The following is a 17,783-nucleotide window of genomic DNA, read 5'->3' as shown; positions in this document are numbered from 1 at the left end:
AAAAAAAAAACAGAAGCAGAACAGAACATTTTTTACAAATAAAAATTATGGTAAAAAAACAAAAAACCAAAAAAAAACAAAAGTTTAGGATGTCAACTAATTCTTAACAACTTTCAATTAGAAATCTAGTGCAAAAGAATACTGCTTAAAAGTAGAGTGAAATGTTAACTACATTGGAAATAAAAATAGTTACAAATTTTAGAATTTTTAACACAATTGAGAATTTTCAGCTTACAATTAGGTGGATTTAGAAATATCAGAACACATCTGCTAAGAGGATGATGTGGCATCTGTGGAAGTCTGCTTGCACACAGCTGGAAGCCTTCAGGGGTAAAAACAAACTACTTCTCTTGCTGGAATTCACACATGTCCAAATATGTCTGGGGAATAGATAGAACTTTATTGTCAAATGTATTTAAAGGGCTAGACAATGGGGTAGGGAGGAGACTCAGAAGCCCCTAGGAAGGAATCATTCTGAGTGAAAAACACAAACAAAAAAGCAAACACACATGTTAGTCCAGTAATTTCTATAGTTATTCATGTAATGCTTGATGTGCTTCCTTTCTGTATTACCAACTGCTACAGGCACAGGGACACCATGCTGAACAAATCAAGATAAAGCCCCTACAAGCACGAGGCTCACTTCCATGGAGGGAAGAAAGAAAATATACAACACTGACAGCGTAGAGTACAATGGGCAGGAATCAAGTAGAGTAAGGGACAGATAATGATGGCCTAAGCTGCTGTTTTAGGTAGAGTAGTTAGAAAAGGCCACTGAGATGAGACTCCATTTGAACAGAGACCTGCAGAAAGAGACAAGGCTGAAGCGGGCAGATCACTTGAGGTCAAGAGTTCGAGACCAGCCTGGCCAATATAGTGACACCCTGTCTCTACTTAAAAAAAAAAAAAAAACTAGCCAGGCATGGTGGTTGGGTGCCTGTAGTCCCAGCTACTCAGGAGACTGAGGCAGGAGGATCTCTTGAACCCAGGGGGTGGAGGCTGCAGTGAGCTGAGATCACACCACTGCACTACAGCCTGGCAGCCTGGGTGACAGAGCAAGACTCTGTCTCAAAAAAAAAAAAAAAAAAAAAAGAGACAAGACAAAGTTGTATGTGGTGATTTCTGGCAGAGGGAACAGAAGGTTGGAGGCTCTGAGGCAGGAGGGATGGGCAGGTCTGAAGAGTAGATGGCAGTGCTGTGAGAGGGCCATTAGCAAGGGCCTGGGTGGGAGAAGAGCCATCGGTGAGGTGGGCTGTGAGGCAGATCCCCAAGGGGCTTCTGGGTCAGGCAAGGGTTCTGGGTTTATTCTGAGTGGGAGCAGAAGGTTCTGGAAGCTTTTGAGCAATAGCAACCCCAACTCCATCCTGGTCAGAACGGAGGGTTATTGTGACGATGGCCTTCTCTTTTCTCAAGGCACAGACATGAGCCTTCAGGGACACATTTCTAATGAAAAAACTGAAACGAACGCTACACCTAGGACATTGGGGGCCACGCAATTTTCCTGTGAGATTCCATTAGGACTCTGCAACCCAGGGGAACTCTCTCCAAGAATCTCCTCACACCTTGCGCACAGGGAGGGCAGCCCAGCAGGTGGAGGCCCTGGCAGGCCCAGGGGTGCGGACACTTGGGGAGTCCCTGCGGTGTCCTCTGCATTGCTGGCTGGGGATGGAGAAGGCCAAGCCGGTCGTGCTGCTCCAGGCTCTACGGCAGCAGAGACTTTTCTCACCTTTGCTTTTCTCAGGCCCTCCCTTTCCTCCTCCTCCCTCTCACTTACCTTCTCCCTCTCACTTACCTTCTCCTCCTTTTCTTTACTTGTTCTCCACCAACCTGATTTTTCTTTTGTGCTTGGCTTGTGGAGGATTATTTCTGCATGGCATAGGAAGGAGATTGTGAAAGCCCACTGTTATAAGAAGGATTCCTGAAACTAAAGTATCCATAAGTGTCAATTTTACACAGCTAAATGAATCCAGTAAATGGAATGACAAATTGCCAAATCATGTCTTACGGCCAGCTGACAAGAAATCCCTGGAGCATATATAAACCAAGGAACAGGTGCAACTCCAAAAAAGCATTCAAGATGAGTTACAAAGATTATGACAAGATAAGATGGAGCCAGAACCACTGGTTCAAGATTAGATTAAAAAGAATTACATTGTAGGTAGATATTTATTTGTTTAAATATACCACTTTATAATACTGTTTATTTGCAGAAATAATTTTTTTAAAATTTAGTCAAATTATTTTAAGGAAGAGTACAGATTTTTTCTATTTTAATCTGGGTTCTGTAGTTTAGACTATCAGTTTCTCCCCTAAGATTCTATTTCTAACTAGTAACAGTGTTTTCTACCGTTATGCCACTTGAGTGGGAGGACATTGTTGGTCCAATACTAATTCTGCAAACTGCAACTTACAAGATTTTACAACATGGTCTTAATTCTTTCCCTAAAAAGCCACTCATGGCATGGGGTTTGGGGTTAGAATATTTCGGATGGACAGAAAGAATTAAAGGTACTCACAAACACAAAATTTACTTCTCCTTGGTCCATATACAGACGTGGAGATACAGATTAAATTGCTACTTCTTGAGTCAGGTACATTAGGCCTAAGTCCCAATTCTGCCATTTGGCATTACATTGGTCAGGCTACTACTACTTTTACATATTTAAAATATAGGGATAATAATAATACCGACCTTATAGGGTCATTGGTAGGATGAGGTGAGATTTTGCCTGACCGACCCTTAGCCAGGTTTCTGTATCATAGTAGGTGTGCTATAACTAGCTATATTAGGATTGTTCCTACTGGTCTTTTACCTAGATGATTGCTTCTAAATTAAATAAAAATAGATAACTGAACATTATTTATACAATTTTTTGCTGTTTTTTATTTCTATAAACTTATGGGGTACATAAGAAATTTTGGTACATGTATATAACGCATAGCGGTCAAGTCAACGTATTGAGGACAGCCATCACCCAAGTAAAATCGATTTTTGTTAAGTACAGTCCCCCTACTCCACCATCAAATATGGAATTAATTCCTTCTGTCTTACCATATGTTTGTACCCTTTAACCCAGTCCTCCTCTTCCTCTCTTTTCTCCCACACTCACCCTTCCCAGTCTCTGTTATTTATTTTTCCCCTCTTGACCTCCATGTGATCAAATATTTTAGTTCCCACATACAAGTGAGAACACGCAATATTTATTTCTTTGTGTTTGGATTATTTCACTTAAGATAATTCTCTCCAATTCCATCCATGTTGCCACAAATGACATGTTTTCTTTCTTTTTATGACTGAATAGAATTCCATTACATATATATATGACATTTTCTTTATTCATTCATTTGTTGATGAAAACGGGTTGATTCTATATATTTGCTATTGTGAATAGTGCTGCAATAAACATTCCAAGTTTACATATATCTTTTATATTTTGATTTCTGTTCCTTTGGATAGATAGGATGTGTACATGAAAAATCCAAAGAAATTTATAATTAACAAGCAAAGTAATTAGATACAAGATAGTATACACGAATCAGATGTATTTTGAAACAATAGCAACAATTAGAAAATTATTTTTTCAGACAGGATCTTACTCTGTCACCCAGGCTGGAGTACAGTGGCACAAACTCACCGCAGCCTTGAACTCTTGGGCTCAAGCAGAGCCCTCCCACCTCAGCCTCCTCCCACCTCAGCCTCCTCCCATCTCTGCCTCCCCAGTAATTAGGATTACAGTCAGGTACTACCACGCTTGGCTAAATTTTTTTTTTTTGAGATGGGGTCTCCCTGTGTTGCCCAGGCTGGTCTTGAACTCCTGGCCTCAAGTGATCCTCCTGCCTCAACCTCCCATAGTGCTGGGATTACAGGAGTGAGCCACTGTACCTTGCCTGAAAATTAATTTTTAAATGACATCATTTACAATTGCATTAAAAATATCAAACAGTTAGGAACTAGTGAAATGTGTGAAAGAAAACTATAAAACATTGACATAAATTAAAGAAGAGTATCTTCAAATAAATAAAGAGATATTCCATGTTCATGGGCTGAAAATCTTTATATTGTAAAATATAAATTATTCCTCCACATAATCTATAGAATCTAAGCAATCCCATTCAACATCCCAGCAGTTATTTTTATGGAAATTAGCCAGTTGATTCTAAAGTTTATATGGAAATGCAAAAGGCTAAAATAGCAAACACAATTTCAAAGAATAACGAAGTAAGAATATTTAGAATACTAGATATCAAGACAGTAATTCAAACAGTATGATATGGACATGAGAATAAATAAACAGACCAATGAAAGAGAATAGTGTTTAGTGGGCATGCCTCTTTGGAAAACCACTTAGCAGAATCAGTTAACACTGAACATGTACACACCCTGCAGCCCCACAAATCCCCTCTCTTCTAGGTACAGAATAATGCCCCCCCTCCGACACAAATATCTAGCTACAGTGTAATTAGTATGTCTCCATACTAATCCCCAGAATCTATGCATACGTTACCGTACATGGCAAAAAATAATTAAGGTTATAGGTAGAATTCAGTTGACCTGATCAGCTGACCTTAAAATAGAGAAATGATCTGGGATTATTCAAGTGGCTGCAAACCTAATGAGATGAGTCCATAAAAAGGAAGGAAGAAGAGCCTGTGAGAAGGGTCTGACCTACCCTTGCTGGTTTTGAAGATAGTCGAAGGGTCCTCAAACCAAGGCATGCAGATGGCTTCTAGAAGCTGGGAATGGCCCTCATCCAGCAGGAAAATGGCAACCTCCGTCCTACAACCACAAGGAATTGAATTCTGCCCACAGCCCAAATGTGCGGGAAGTGATTCTCCCCTAGAACCTCCAGGAACAAACACAGCACTGCTGGCACCTTGATTTTAGACCCTGCTGGACCTCTGGTCTGCAGAATTGTAAAAATATAAATTTGTGTTCTTTTAAGGCACAAAGTGTGTAGTAATTTGTTATAACAGCAATTGAAAATGAATACAGCAGCAGAATAAACAAAAATCATGACATATGTCACTGTAGGCCACCCCCTTGGTTCCTGAGCAAGTATGCATGTGTGCACATACACAAGCACATGCCTCTCCCCATACCGAGAATTCCAAAATGACTGCACCTATTATAATGCAATGGTCCTTCTTTCAACCATAAAAGCCTTCCTCCTCTTCCAATGGGAGATGGCCTAGAGTCAGATCCACACAGGTCATTCCACAAGTCGAGGATCTGAGGATGCCATCAACCCCTCTGGGAAGGTATAACTGCAGTTTCATGATCTTGCAACCTCTAGGTTCCAGACAAACGTAACTATTACCAAGGTACCTAATCTAATCAAGGAGAGAAAACAATTTGAGCCAAAAAATTAAAGAGAGTCAGGTATAGTAACCGTGGTCCAAACAACATGTTGTAGCCCCCTGGGCAGTGCGGAAGGGAGACCCTTGGTCAGATGGACACTTTGGCTGATGCAGGTTCTATCTGTGTGCAGGATGTGGTTTCTGCTCCCTTTTATTCTCTGTGGCCCTGCCAGAGAGGAGCCTGGTGAAGGGCTGTGGCCCAGGATGGAGCAGCCATGAAAGCCCACATTCTGAGGGTGGGGGTGAGGAGCCTGAGCTGGCTCAGGGGACGGAACGGTCATAGGCTCCTGCGTGCCAGGCCAGGGCACTGTGCTGCATCATTCTCCCCAACGCTGTGTGGATGCCTATCAATTGATTCTGGCTGTAAACAAACATTTTCCTCTGAATCTTGCCGTTCTTCCTGCCCTGTCTCCAGACCTTTAATCCATGACTTCTATCCCTGCCTCCTCTCCGGCTCCAAGCAGTGGGAACAGAGAGCTGAGGTAGCACAAACACCCCCAGGAACTCTGCTCAGCCCCCAAGCCATGAAGAAGTGAGAACTTGCACCAGGAGCAAACACAGCAAAAGGGGTTTGTGAGGGTGCAGGATTCTCTGCTCCCCCATCCTGATTTCCAGAATCCCAGTTTGATGGTTCCCTGCCCAACTTTGTCATGGGGAAAGGAATTCAGATTTACAGTTCAAAAAGATGATTGTGGGACTGTAAGTGGCCCTGGTCCCTGGCCTCGGGAAGGAGCACATCTTTACAATCTCAATACACCTTTCCAGCTGGTGGCTGTCTGCTGTCATATTAGTAGTACTGAAGCCACATTTGTCTGTCTTGCATTGCCTCACCGATGGCCTCAATAAACAGCCAACACTCCCTAACACAGCGATGGCTTTCTACCAAGAATGCTAGACACCAAGCCATGATACCTTTGCTAAGTAATGAACACTGCATAATTTTAGATTAATTAAAGTTTTAGATAAGTCCAAGGCTCATGGATATACCCTAATCCAATCATAAAATAAAGCTCACATCCAGATTCATTTAGTTACTTCATCATTACTAGGAATTTTCCTTGTTACAAAATCCGAAGAAAGGGGCTCAGTTTGATATTCATATTATCTTAGTTATCTATTTTCAAGATATAAGAAGAAAAACGACTCTGGATGACACAACAGAGAGGGACAACATTATGAAATGTCATTTGAAGTCAGCAGCTCTAATAATGAAGACATCACTGGAGGAAATATTGTAAAGGAGGCAGAGATCCCCGCAGAGCACTCCTCAGTTTAGAGAGACGGAAACTGAGGCCTGATCACAGTCCTCTTGCAAGGCTGTAGCAAAACGGGACCTAGAAGCAAAGTTTTCCATCCCTGGACCCAGTTACTGTCCTTGGTCAAAGCTCAGACTGTGAAATCCTTGCCTAGATTCGATTCTGAAGAAAGGGAAGAAGGAGGAGGAGCTTAAAGAGAGGAAAGCCTGGGAAGGGCCGATGGGGCCTCCTGGGATCGCTGAGGCTTGCTTGCCTCCTTTGGGAGTCTCCAGCTGTGGCGGCAGAGGGTCTGCACCCGGGGACGCTGGAGAGCGGCAGCAGGGAGCTGAGGAGAAGTCCATCCCCAAACTCCACCCACTGCAGTTAAGAGTGTAGCGACTTGGTCTTAGAAAACCTGGGTCCTCTCACTGTTGGTGGGACTGTAAACTAGTTCAACCATTGTGGAAGTCAGTGTGGCGATTCCTCAGGGATCTAGAACTAGAAATACCATTTGACCCAGCCATCCCATTACTGGGTATATACACAAAGGACTGTAAATCATGCTGCTATAAAGACACATGCACACGTATGTTTATTGCGGCACTATTCACAATAGCAAAGACTTGGAACCAACCCAAATGTCCAATAATGATAGACTGGATTAAGAAAATGTGGCACATATACACCATGGAATACTATGCAGCCATAAAAAAGGATGAGTTCATGTCCTTTGTAGGGACATGGATGAAATTGGAAATCATCATTCTCAGTAAACTATCGCAAGAACAAAAAACCAAACACCGCATATTCTCACTCATAGGTGGGAATTGAACGATGAGAACACATGGGCACAGGAAGGGGAACATCACACTCTGGGGACTGTTGTGGGGTGGGGGGAGGGGGGAGGGATAGCACTGGGAGATATACCTAATGCTAGATGACGAGTTAGTGGGTGCAGCACACCAGCATGGCACATGTATACATATGAAACTAACCTGCACATCATGCACATGTACCCTAAAACTTAAAGTATAACAATAATAAATTTAAAAAAAAAAAAAAGAAGGCAAAATCAGAAAACCTGGGTCCTCTCTATTTTGAGGTCTGCAACAGCTGGAACAGTCTGGCTGCAAGACACATGCAGGACGCAGATCTGCCCCACATCCACTTTTGTTCTCCACTACTCCAATTAACTTCATAAAACTTAAAGTAGGAATGTGTTGCTGACATGGCAATACTTGGATTTTGTGTTTGTTGTGCTTTCTGAAAAATCTAGTTCCATTAATTTATTTTATTAATGTTTTTGTATGTCCTTATTTGTTTTCCATTTTATGAACACTAGGATGAATGAAAACAAAAGCATTTCTTGCTCCACATCCCGATGCCAAGGTGAGCAGTTTCCAGTGCAAGTCAGGGGCCCTGGGAAGACTTCAACAAGCAGCTCTGGAAAACGAGGAGGCTCCACCCTGGAGAAGCCGCATCTCAGCTGTCACCCTGGGTGTGGTGAGACCAGGAGGCATTTCCATGATTTATGTAACACCTCGCTCCCAAAAGCATCTGAAGCATTTCACACACGTACAAGCATCGGGCAGAATTAAGAGTAAATAAAGGCTCCTGGACGCATGCGTTCCCATCAGGGAGGCCTTCGTTTCCGGGGTCGACGCGTGGGCGCTTCCTCCGTCCAAGCGCAGCGGGTATTTGCAAAAGAACCGCAATAAGCTCCCCCAGGCAGGGTCCTCAGAAGGGCGCAGACCTCCGGCTGGAGGCGGTCCTGAGTGTTAGGGCTGGGCCGACTCGAGGGCGGGTCCTCTCCGCCCTGCCCCCGCGGTCCCCTGTCGGCCCAGCGTCCCCGCCGCGCGCTCGGAGGAGCTCTTTGCTCACGGAGGACGTGCCTCTCCCGACGCCTCGCGGGCTTCCCCTCCCAGGAACGGCGGAGTTCTGCATGGACGCGGCGGGAGAAAGGAGCGGGTTAGGGTCTGGGCTTTTTGTGGCTCGAAGGACACACGGAGGGAAGCGTCCGCGCGTGGGAACAAGGACTTCTCCCAACTCCTTCCAAGTGGGTCGTCCACGGACGCACGGGCTTTCCGAATTCGCCCGGCGTTATGCTGACCACTTGCGAGCGCCGCGCACACCTGCGGATAAGGAAACCAGTATCTGTCTGAACACAGTCCTCCAGGAGAAAACCGTCCGGTTTGGAGCCTCCGCCCACCCCCAGAGGAAAACCTACAGATTTGTGCCACGGTTCCTAATACCTAAGTGAGAGGCAGACACCCGGCAACCCCGGCAAAGGCGCGTCTTAGGCTCACCGGACGCTCCCTGAACCCGTCCCTCTGGCTGCCGAGCCCCCAGCGCCTTCCCGTTTCGGAAAGAAGCGGGCGCAGACCCCTCGGGGTGCCCCGGGGGACGGCAGGTCCCGCTGGTTGCTATAGGAAGAGGCGGGGCGCTGGAACCCCAGCGCTGGGAGCTGCGCGCACCGGGATCCGCTGGCCGCCTTCCGCGTGAGGGTGGCCGCACCTTCCCGGGCGCACAGAGCCCAGCAGGCGCACAGAGCCCAGCAGGCAAACAGAGCCCGCCAGGCGCACAGAGCCCTCTGCATCATTGCTCACCTGCATCACGGCTTTTAGGCCCAGATGCCAACAAAGTTAGAATCCAAGTGAGCATCTGGGCCCCCAGTGATTACAAAGCTGAGCAGTTAAGTACAAAGTCATGCCTGTCTTTTGTGCTCTGTCACCCAGGCTGGAGTGCAGTGACGTGATCTCGGCTCATGGCAACCTCCGCCTCCCGGGTTCAAGTGATTCTCCTGCCTCAGCCTCCTGAGTAGCTGGGATTACAGGCATGCACCACCACACTCGGCTAATTTTTGTATTTTTAGTAGAGACGGGGTTTCATCATGTTGGCCAGGCTGGTCTCGAACTCCTGACCTCAGGCGATCTGCCCGCCTCCGCCTCCCAAGTAGCTGGGACTACAGGTGTGCACCATCATACCCAGCTAGTTTTTAAGTTTTTTGTAGAGGCAAGGTCTTGTTGTGTTGCCCAGGCTGGTCTCAAACTCTTAGGCTCAAGTAATCCTCCTCCCTTGGCCTCCTGAAGCACTGGGATTACAAGCACGAGCCACCACATTTGGATGAGATGCCTTTTCTAATAACCATGTATGAAACTGCACCCAGACCACCAGCCTCCATGTCCATGACAGAAAATCCTGACACAGGCTGGGCACTGTGGCTCACGCCTGTAATCCCAGTACTTTGGGAGGCCAAGGTGGGCAGATCACCTGAGGTCAGGAGTTTGAGACCAGCCTGGCCAACATGGTGAAACCCCGTCTCTACAAAAATACAAAAATTAGCCAGGTGTGGTGGTGCATGCCTGTAATCCCAGCTACTTGGAAGGCTGAGGTAGGAGAATCGCTTGAACCCGGGAGGCAGAGGTTGCAATGAGCTGAGATCACGCCACTGCAGTCCAGCCTGGGCAACAGAGTAAGACGCCGTCTCGAAGAAAAAAAAAAAAAAGAAAATACTGACACAGCTTCTTCACAGCTTGATGCTTGATTAAAAAAAAAAAAAAAAAAAAAAAAAAAAAAAAGCCACAGAAAGGGAAAAGATTTATTCACAAAAATATATGTGTTACAGGACTCAGCCAAATTATATCAGGAACACCTGGAATCTCAATTAGAAATAGAAAAAAAAAAACCCTAATAGTAAAATGGGCCAAAGACTTAAACAAGCACCTCAAAAACAGGATATCCAAAATGAGCGGCAAATCTACAAAACTGGATTAGTCATCAATGAAATGTATACCAAATCCACACGCCCACCAGAGCAGGTAAAATGCAAAACACAATACTGGGTGTTGACGAGGATGCCAACTCTCATGCACAGCTGGCAGGGATATTAGATTCCTTGACTTGAAAACCTGGTATACAGTGTACACCCAACAGAAATGTGTACATACATGCACCAAAACACATACACAGAAATGTCCACAGTCTCAGTAATCATCATAGCTAAACCATGGCAACAACCCAAAAGGACACCATGTGAAACAAGATCATAAACTGTGGTCTATTCATGCAGTTGAATACTATGCCACAATGAAAAAGTCAACCACAACCACACTGTCTAAAATTCATAGATGAGTCTCACAAACAATGTTTAATTAAAGAAGGCAGACACAAAAGAACACGTGTACAACTCCATTCAGGCAAGAGTAATCGACAGTTACAAGTCAGGACATCACCCTTGAGAGGGTGGGCACTGAGTGGAAGGGGAATCGGGGAATCTGTAGTGTGTCCTGGCCTGGATGCTGGTTACATGTGCGTCCACTTTATAAAATGCCATCATCTATGTACCCATGACTAGCACTGTTTTCAATATATATTTGATATTTCAGTTTTGTTTTTTGGGGTTTTTGAGACAGGGTCTTGCTCTGTCACCCACGCTGGAGTGCAGCAGTGCAATCCTAGATCACTGCAGCCTCAACCTCCTGGGCTCAAGTGATCCCCCCGCCTCAGCCTCCCGAGTAGCTGGGACTACAGGCACACGCCACCATGCCCAGCTAATTTTTCTATTTTTTTTGTAGAGATAGTATCTCGCTGTGTTGCCCAGGGTGGTCTTGAACTCCTGAGCTCAAGGAATCATCCCACCTCAGCCTCTCAAAGTGTTGGGATTACAGAGGTAAGCCACTGCACCCAGCCTATATTTCAATAAAATTTAATAAAAATCAAAACAATACAAAAAAAAATTATGGACATGTATCTACTGATGTGGAAGTTTTTTCACAATATTGAGAAAAACTTATAAAGCAATGCATATAGTATGATCCTGTAATTACAAAAAATAACATATATGCATAAAACAGGATACACAATGACATTCACTCATTTAAAAATATTTATTGAGCATGTGCGATGGACCAACACATAATTTATTTGGAAGACGTCTACACAACTGTACTATCCCATGCAGAGTCCCATCGCATACATCACCACCTTAGCTCGCACGCTGAGCCAGGGCAGTGTTCCCTACACGCCACTGGCACAGCCCTGTGCAATCCTACGTCCCACACGAGTGGATGAGCGACGGCAGTAAGGGCACCACTAACATAGGAGGTGGGGACAGTCACTGTCACAGGGTACACGGGCTGATATGCGTGCGTCCTAGGAGTGTAGACCTAGACCTAGCTTAGGAACATGGAGCTCCGACCCAGCCACGGGTCGGCACTGTGGGCACCACGGGTGAACACCTGGAAACACAGCCTACTTCTAGAGGGCAGACACTGGGCAGCGGGGGTGGCCACGGCAGCTCCTGCCGAGCCCAAGCGTGTTTGTCTGTGAAGGACCCTGACGTCACCTGCCAGGCTAGGGAGGGGTCAATGTGGAGTGAATGTTCACCGACTTTCGCAGGAGTGTGCAGAAGCCAGGTGCAACTTGGTTTGCTTGTGTTCATCACCCCTCAAGATATGCACACTGCTTTCCAAATAAAGCATCAACTGTCATCTCCAGATGGGGAAGACTTTTTCTCCAACCTGAAAAAGATAAATGACAACAGGTCAATCAGATGATAAATCATTTGATTAACATACTACATTTCCTAATGGTTTAATATTGGACAAGAGAACAGTATTCAGGTGCAGAATTTTTTTAAATGACAAACTTTTAACAAAAACTTATCACAAAGCAAAGCACAAAACAAATATAAAAAATGAAGGAAAACCATTTATTTTTATTTTCTTTGCCACATTAATCCTGAGCCCAAAGAAGAACATTCCATTTTCAGCAGCCTCTGAGACAGGAAGCCCAAGTGAGCTGGGCGAGCTACACATGAATTCACACACGGATCCGAAGGCTGCCAGTCAGAACACGCATCACAGACGACACGCCTAGACTAACTGCTGCCTGGGAAGCCACAGAGGCCTGTGTAAAGGGAGCGCCAAGGCACAGCTCAGGCTTCTGTCCATCTGGGGGACCCTCTGGACATGGCACAAGGGGCCTCAGGCTGATGTGGGTCTCTGCTCTCCCTCACTTACCGTGTCACCTGAGGGAATGACTTCCCTGACTTCCCTTCCAGAGCCCTCCACTTCCCGTGCTGTCAGATGGGAAATGAAGCCAATGACAACAGGCGCTTTCTGTGTAAGGATTAAATCACTCCTGCACAAAAGGCGTGGACCCCAGTGTGGGCCAGCATCTGCCATCACTACCACCACCCAGGCCTGTCTCCCTGAGGACCGGCACCCACAGGACAGAATCTTACAACTACGTATCTTACTTTTTGAGATGTGGGGTCTTGTCTGGAAGTGACAGCCCAGCTCAGAGCCACAGACATGTGCCTTCTCCACACTGGGTTTCTCTGCAACACAACTGAACCCGTGACCACGTCTCCTGTATGGACAGGGACTGGGTCGTCCATCATGAACAGCGTCTGCTTCCAGTGTGTGGTGCTGCAAGACAGGGGTGCGTGTGACCTGGAGGCTGAGCTAGGGCAGTCTCCACATGGCCCTCGGGGCGCTGACTCAGGCTCGCACTGGCTCTCGCCCCCAACAGCACCCACACAGCCGGCAGTCCACCCTGAGGGCCTGGGGACACAAAGCTTGGCTTTTCAGGCTAACTCAGGGAACATATACACCCCCAGCCCTGTGATCTAAAGGGACTCTATGGGATACACTGGGATCAAAGTTACGCTAGTGAGACAGATCCTGCCAATGCCAAACACAAGCTTGCTCCTGAGACCACTCAGATTCCAGGAGGTGTGGACGGCTCACCCTGGGTGGCCCAGAGGATGCGGGAGCTCAGGGGACACACAGCTGCACTAAAGGTCCCGTGTGGTGTCGACTCCCCGGCCCGCCAGGAGGACGGCTGTGCAACCCCTTCCTGCACCCTTGCCTAAGCTGCAGAGGCTGGTGATCTAGCTCCTGCTGTTAAACTGTGGTGTACACAGACAGAATCAGGTCCAAGGAGTCGCTTCTGTGAAGGTTACAAGGTGAGGACAACTGTCACATTTGGGGGGAAATAGTAAAACGCTATGATTCTGCACTGGGTTGCGTTGGAAACATCTCTAAGTTCCTCAGGCTCTGTCTTCCCTCAAACTCCCACTGTCCACGGTGGGGCCAGCAGTGAAGTGGGGGGCTCCTCAGGTCTCCAGTTTTTCCCTGACTCTGGTCACACCCCTCACCCCAGCCTGTGCCCCAGGTCACTGCCCCCTCCACGCCCCCAGACTCGGGGATGGGTATAACTGGCCTCCAAGCTGCCCACCTCCACCCGGTGATGGCACTGGAGGGGCCACCACAGGACTCTTGTGATGGGGACCACATGCCAGGCCAGGCCATCAACCCCGCACCTCTGCGACCTCCCTGGAGCCGGGGTCCCCTCGCGGGGCCACCACGCTGGGAAGTCAGCGGGGCAGGTGCCAGAGCGGGGTAGCCAACCCCACCCAAAGGGAAGGCCTGCAGGGCCCTGAAGGCAGCTCCACTGCCACACATGCCCAGGGTGCTGGCGGGGAAATGTGTCCCAAAAAACAGGCACCTCCAAAAACGTCAGGTGAACCCCGACGCCCCGTGGAGGCGCTTTGGGTCAGACCATGAAGAGCTGTGGTGCTCCTCGCGGGGTGGAAGACAGGGAGCTCCTCCCGTTGGGGCTGTTGTCGGAGGGACGCCCAGGCTGGGCCCAGAGTGGTGGCGAGACCCGGAAGGGGGCACACAGGCTGCGGTGTCTACACCACCCGTGCCCCCATGCGCGCCGCCCCCACCCCACTGCCCGCGCCCCCACGTGCCCCACCCCCCCACGACCGCCACGCCGCGTCCCACCCCCTCCTGCGCGCCCCATCCCCGCACCCCGCCTACTCCCCTGCCCCCCACCCCGCACCCCGTGCCCGCGCCCCGCACACTCACGGGTGGAAGGGCCCGGTGCTGAGCACCTGCGGCGGCTGCCCCTCCTGCAGGCTCTGGAAGTGGACGCTAAACCAGGCCGTGAAGCCGTGCAGGGTCCCCGCCTTCCTGATGTCGAAGCGCAGCTCGCCCCTCAGGGTCTGGGTCAAGCAGATGACAAGGCACGCGTGGGCACCGCGTGGCACCGCAGGGCCCGGGTTGGGGCGGCCCCCTCCACGCGCCCCGCGCAGACGCTGAATGCGTCAGGAACCGTAGAAAAGCCCCCCAGCCTGGGGAAACCACCCCCAAAACCCGCATCGTGAGTTCAGAGGCTTCAGTCAGAAACGTTTCAAGCATCTGAGCTTCTTGCGCCCAATTTTCTACCCCAGATTCTGCGGAATCTTTTCGGCGCTCAGCTCTTCCAGTTAAGGAGTTGGAGAGCTCCAGGCTGGGCCTTTCCACAGCAGAACGAACTAAAAACCAAAGCGCGCCGGCGCCACCGCGCCCGCCCCATCTCCAGACGCGGCGCCAGCTGGGGCGCCAGGCAGGGCGGGGGCGCGGGGAAACCGCCCAGAGCCCACGAGCGCCACCGCGCGGCCACAGACAGGGATTCACGGAGGGAATTCTAACGATTCTGTCATGAAGAGTGGCTTAAAATACTTGAAAAAAACTGTAATGCAAATACCATAATGAAACGAAATATAATTTATTTGATTTTGAAGATGCTGAGAATATTAAACATAAATCTAAAATGAAGACGCTGGAGACATAAAATGGTGTACAATATGAAAGAATCAAAATAGAACGTAAAAAAGAAAAAAGACTGGAAAAAATCAGTAGCAAACGTTTTATAAATTCACTTATTTGCATAATAAAATAATTAGTTATTCACTCACACCCCCAGCACTCACTGAAGGTTTTTGATAAGCCAGGCTCTGGTCTGAGTGTTTCGTGGTCACTGATTATCGAATGTAAGGAGCAATTCATCTTTTTCTCACCTCTAGATCAGAAATTTGCACGGTTCTCATGTCCAACTGCAATATAGTGCACGGTTCAGAGAGACAGTCTTCTGGTTTCAAAATGTGGTTATACTTGGGCTTTGAAAAAAACTCCTTAACTGCTAAAGATCTAGGGGAAAAGGTCAAAGCGACTGTTGAGAGTCATTGCAAACATCTTAGGCTTCAAAACACACACGTGGGACCGCGGTGAGTGCTCTCCCTTCTGTGTCACCAGGATGCTAAGCCACTATCTGGGGCCCTGGAACCCCAGAGCAGCCCTCAGGCCTCCACAGGCCCTGGGTGCCTCCCGCTCTGAGAAGACCCAGACTCTACCCAGGCATCCAGAGACTTCCTGAGCCTGACCTGGAGGCATTAAGGAGCCTGCCAGTCACTGGGCGCTTCCCTGTGAGGTCTCATTCATGGGATCTGAGCACACGGAAACCAACGCTCACCCCTCATAACCCAGAGGACAAGGGGAGTTGCAGCGTGTCTTGCCTAGTTTTAGAATGTATTTGATTTCAAAATCTTTTGTGGATCTTCTATTAACAGTAAATGAACGCGGTATTCCTGCTGTAGGTTACTCTATAATAAACGAAAGGAACTAGAAGGGCTGAGGTGGCCTGAGTGAGTCTGAGTTTCAGGAGAAATACTTGCTCTGTTGCTACACAAATTCAACACAGAAACAGACACTAGACGCCGCATGGCCCCTGCATGTCACCGTTTGCCAACCCCCATCACTGGCTGCACTAGGCTTGTAAGTCACCGATTATTTACCACAGAAATGTTGTAAAAAATAAGCAAAGCAGTAACTTCTGAAATAGCAAATAAAAGTGAATGTTTTAATAAAGATTCCACTATATTTACACATTTATTTTTCTGATAAAAAATTACAAATTTAAAAATTGGAAACTATGGACAAGTATAAAGAAAAGCTTAAATTCCCCATATGCCTGTCTTAGCATTGTGATATACTTATTTTTATCCCCCAGACATATTTATATAAATTTATTTATGCAAGCAAACATCCATTCTGTATACACGGTTTATTCTGCCAAGCTTTACTGTCTCTTAAACCCTTTCTAAATATCATTACATATCCCTAAAAACCTATGGTTTCTTTTTTAACAGACACACAGCAGTGCTCCACCAGATGGATATACAGCAATTCAATCACGTTCCTCTGGACGGCCACTGGCTTCCAGTGCCGGGAGGAACACTCAGGTGGGAGGCTCTGGCAGTGACTGGGGTGGGCAGCCTGATGCCAACCTCTAAGGCCCTGGCAGCCACACCTCCCTGCCACTGCCAGGCAAGCCTGGGCTACTATTTTAATTTACTCTTTGCTTGTCTGGTAGGGAAAACAGCATGTATTTTAATTCGCATTTTAACTACTAACAACATTATAATTTTTCATATATTTATTGGTAATTTTATTTATTTTTTGCGGTTTGCCTGTTCACATGATTGGGCTGCAATTCCATCTGGCTAGTCATCTCTTTCTAATTGATTCCAAGACCTGACAGCACGTGATTTCTCTAATTACTTGTTTGCTTTTACAATCGTGTTTTTGCTGATTTCTGCCACATAGACTGCCAGATTCTATCTAGCCCAGGGTCCATTCCATCCATTGTTGCTGCTCATTTCTCCACCTAAGATGGTGCACACAGGCCCCCATGGATGTCTGTCGCTGACGCTGATTCCATGCAGAATTAAGTTTTCACGTATGGCGTGAGAGAACAAGGGCTAATCAACTGCTCCAGAATAATTTGCTGACTTGGCCCTCACTCCCTCCTAATCGTAATGCCACCTTTTTCACATACGAAAATTTTTGTTCCTTGCATTCTACCCTGCTCTGCCCATCTGTCTTGTTATAGCACCATACTGCTTTAATTACTCCAATGCTACAACAGATTGTCCTATCTGGGTGCACAGGTACCCTCATTTATCCAACCGTCGTATGGGATCTCCCAGGGCCTTGGCCCACCTGCAGACTGTGGACCAGGAGGCCCCACAAGACGGTGCCAGTCCCAGCTGTGGACACTTACTTCAGAGCGCTGAGGTTGAACTCGTACGCGTTGTCCCAGAAGAGCACCTTGCTACGATAATCCTTATCAGCACTGCAGGGCACAAGGTGCAACGCAGCCATGGTGGGCCAAATGACCCCGTCCTCCTTCAGCCAGGCATCCCGGGCATACAGGATGGACTCGATCATGAACTCAAACTGCATAGGAGTGAAAGACACACAGGAGACACATCACAGGCCCCGCGGCTGCACAGGCCTCTCACCACCACATTCGTAACACTAGTCTGACAGTTCTACAGTTTTAGCCTCAAGAATATTC

At 47.5% G+C, this 17,783-nt stretch overlaps 1 protein-coding gene and 1 long non-coding RNA gene across 12 annotated transcripts in view, besides 5 other annotated features; both read right to left on the bottom strand.

Moving 5' to 3' along the window:
- Positions 223-423: a silencer, noted in NCBI's record as "peak4433 fragment used in MPRA reporter construct". NCBI's record gives its function as "represses an SCP1 promoter by STARR-seq MPRAs in K562 erythroleukemia cells {active_cell/tissue: K562}" and the evidence as "EXISTENCE:reporter gene assay evidence [ECO:0000049][PMID:32103011]".
- On the bottom strand, positions 2,858-9,018 carry LOC124905058 (uncharacterized). Its single transcript, XR_007067938.1, has 2 exons — positions 8,846-9,018; positions 2,858-8,725 (listed from the first exon to the last, which is right to left on the bottom strand). It is a non-coding gene; the product is annotated as an uncharacterized LOC124905058 (long non-coding RNA).
- Positions 8,035-8,772: an enhancer, noted in NCBI's record as "H3K27ac-H3K4me1 hESC enhancer chr21:48087547-48088284 (GRCh37/hg19 assembly coordinates)". NCBI's record gives its function as "activates a minimal SCP1, AML or CMV promoter by ChIP-STARR-seq in primed H9 embryonic stem cells {active_cell/tissue: H9 hESC(primed)}" and the evidence as "EXISTENCE:reporter gene assay evidence [ECO:0000049][PMID:30033119]".
- Positions 8,202-8,321: an enhancer, noted in NCBI's record as "active region_18608". NCBI's record gives its function as "activates an Ori minimal core promoter by ATAC-STARR-seq in GM12878 lymphoblastoid cells {active_cell/tissue: GM12878}" and the evidence as "EXISTENCE:reporter gene assay evidence [ECO:0000049][PMID:35858748]".
- Positions 9,019-11,282: 2,264 nt separating the features above from the next.
- PRMT2 (protein arginine methyltransferase 2) overlaps positions 11,283-17,783 on the bottom strand; it is a 29,451-nt gene continuing 22,950 nt past the window's right edge. For 3 of the 11 annotated variants that reach the window (NM_206962.4, XM_005261111.5, NM_001535.5), the window contains 5 exons: positions 17,487-17,662; positions 15,445-15,574; positions 14,471-14,607; positions 12,853-13,024; positions 11,283-12,112 (listed from right to left, as the gene is read on the bottom strand). In NM_206962.4, the coding sequence (NP_996845.1) occupies positions 12,080-12,112; positions 12,853-13,024; positions 14,471-14,607; positions 15,445-15,574; positions 17,487-17,662 (648 nt within the window). In that variant the 3' untranslated portion in view covers positions 11,283-12,079. Of the gene's footprint in view, positions 12,113-12,852; positions 13,025-14,470; positions 14,608-15,136; positions 17,663-17,783 lie in introns of those variants that run through there. The other 8 variants (XM_006723998.5, XM_047440759.1, NM_001286676.2 and 5 more) reach the window with 5 other exon arrangements.
- Positions 14,852-14,901: an enhancer, noted in NCBI's record as "active region_18607". NCBI's record gives its function as "activates an Ori minimal core promoter by ATAC-STARR-seq in GM12878 lymphoblastoid cells {active_cell/tissue: GM12878}" and the evidence as "EXISTENCE:reporter gene assay evidence [ECO:0000049][PMID:35858748]".
- Positions 15,002-15,111: a silencer, noted in NCBI's record as "silent region_13425". NCBI's record gives its function as "represses an Ori minimal core promoter by ATAC-STARR-seq in GM12878 lymphoblastoid cells {active_cell/tissue: GM12878}" and the evidence as "EXISTENCE:reporter gene assay evidence [ECO:0000049][PMID:35858748]".

This window comes from Homo sapiens, chromosome 21 (assembly GCF_000001405.40).
Source record: "Homo sapiens chromosome 21, GRCh38.p14 Primary Assembly".
NCBI lineage: Eukaryota > Metazoa > Chordata > Mammalia > Primates > Hominidae > Homo > Homo sapiens.
This window is presented reverse-complemented; position numbering and strand designations above follow the sequence as displayed.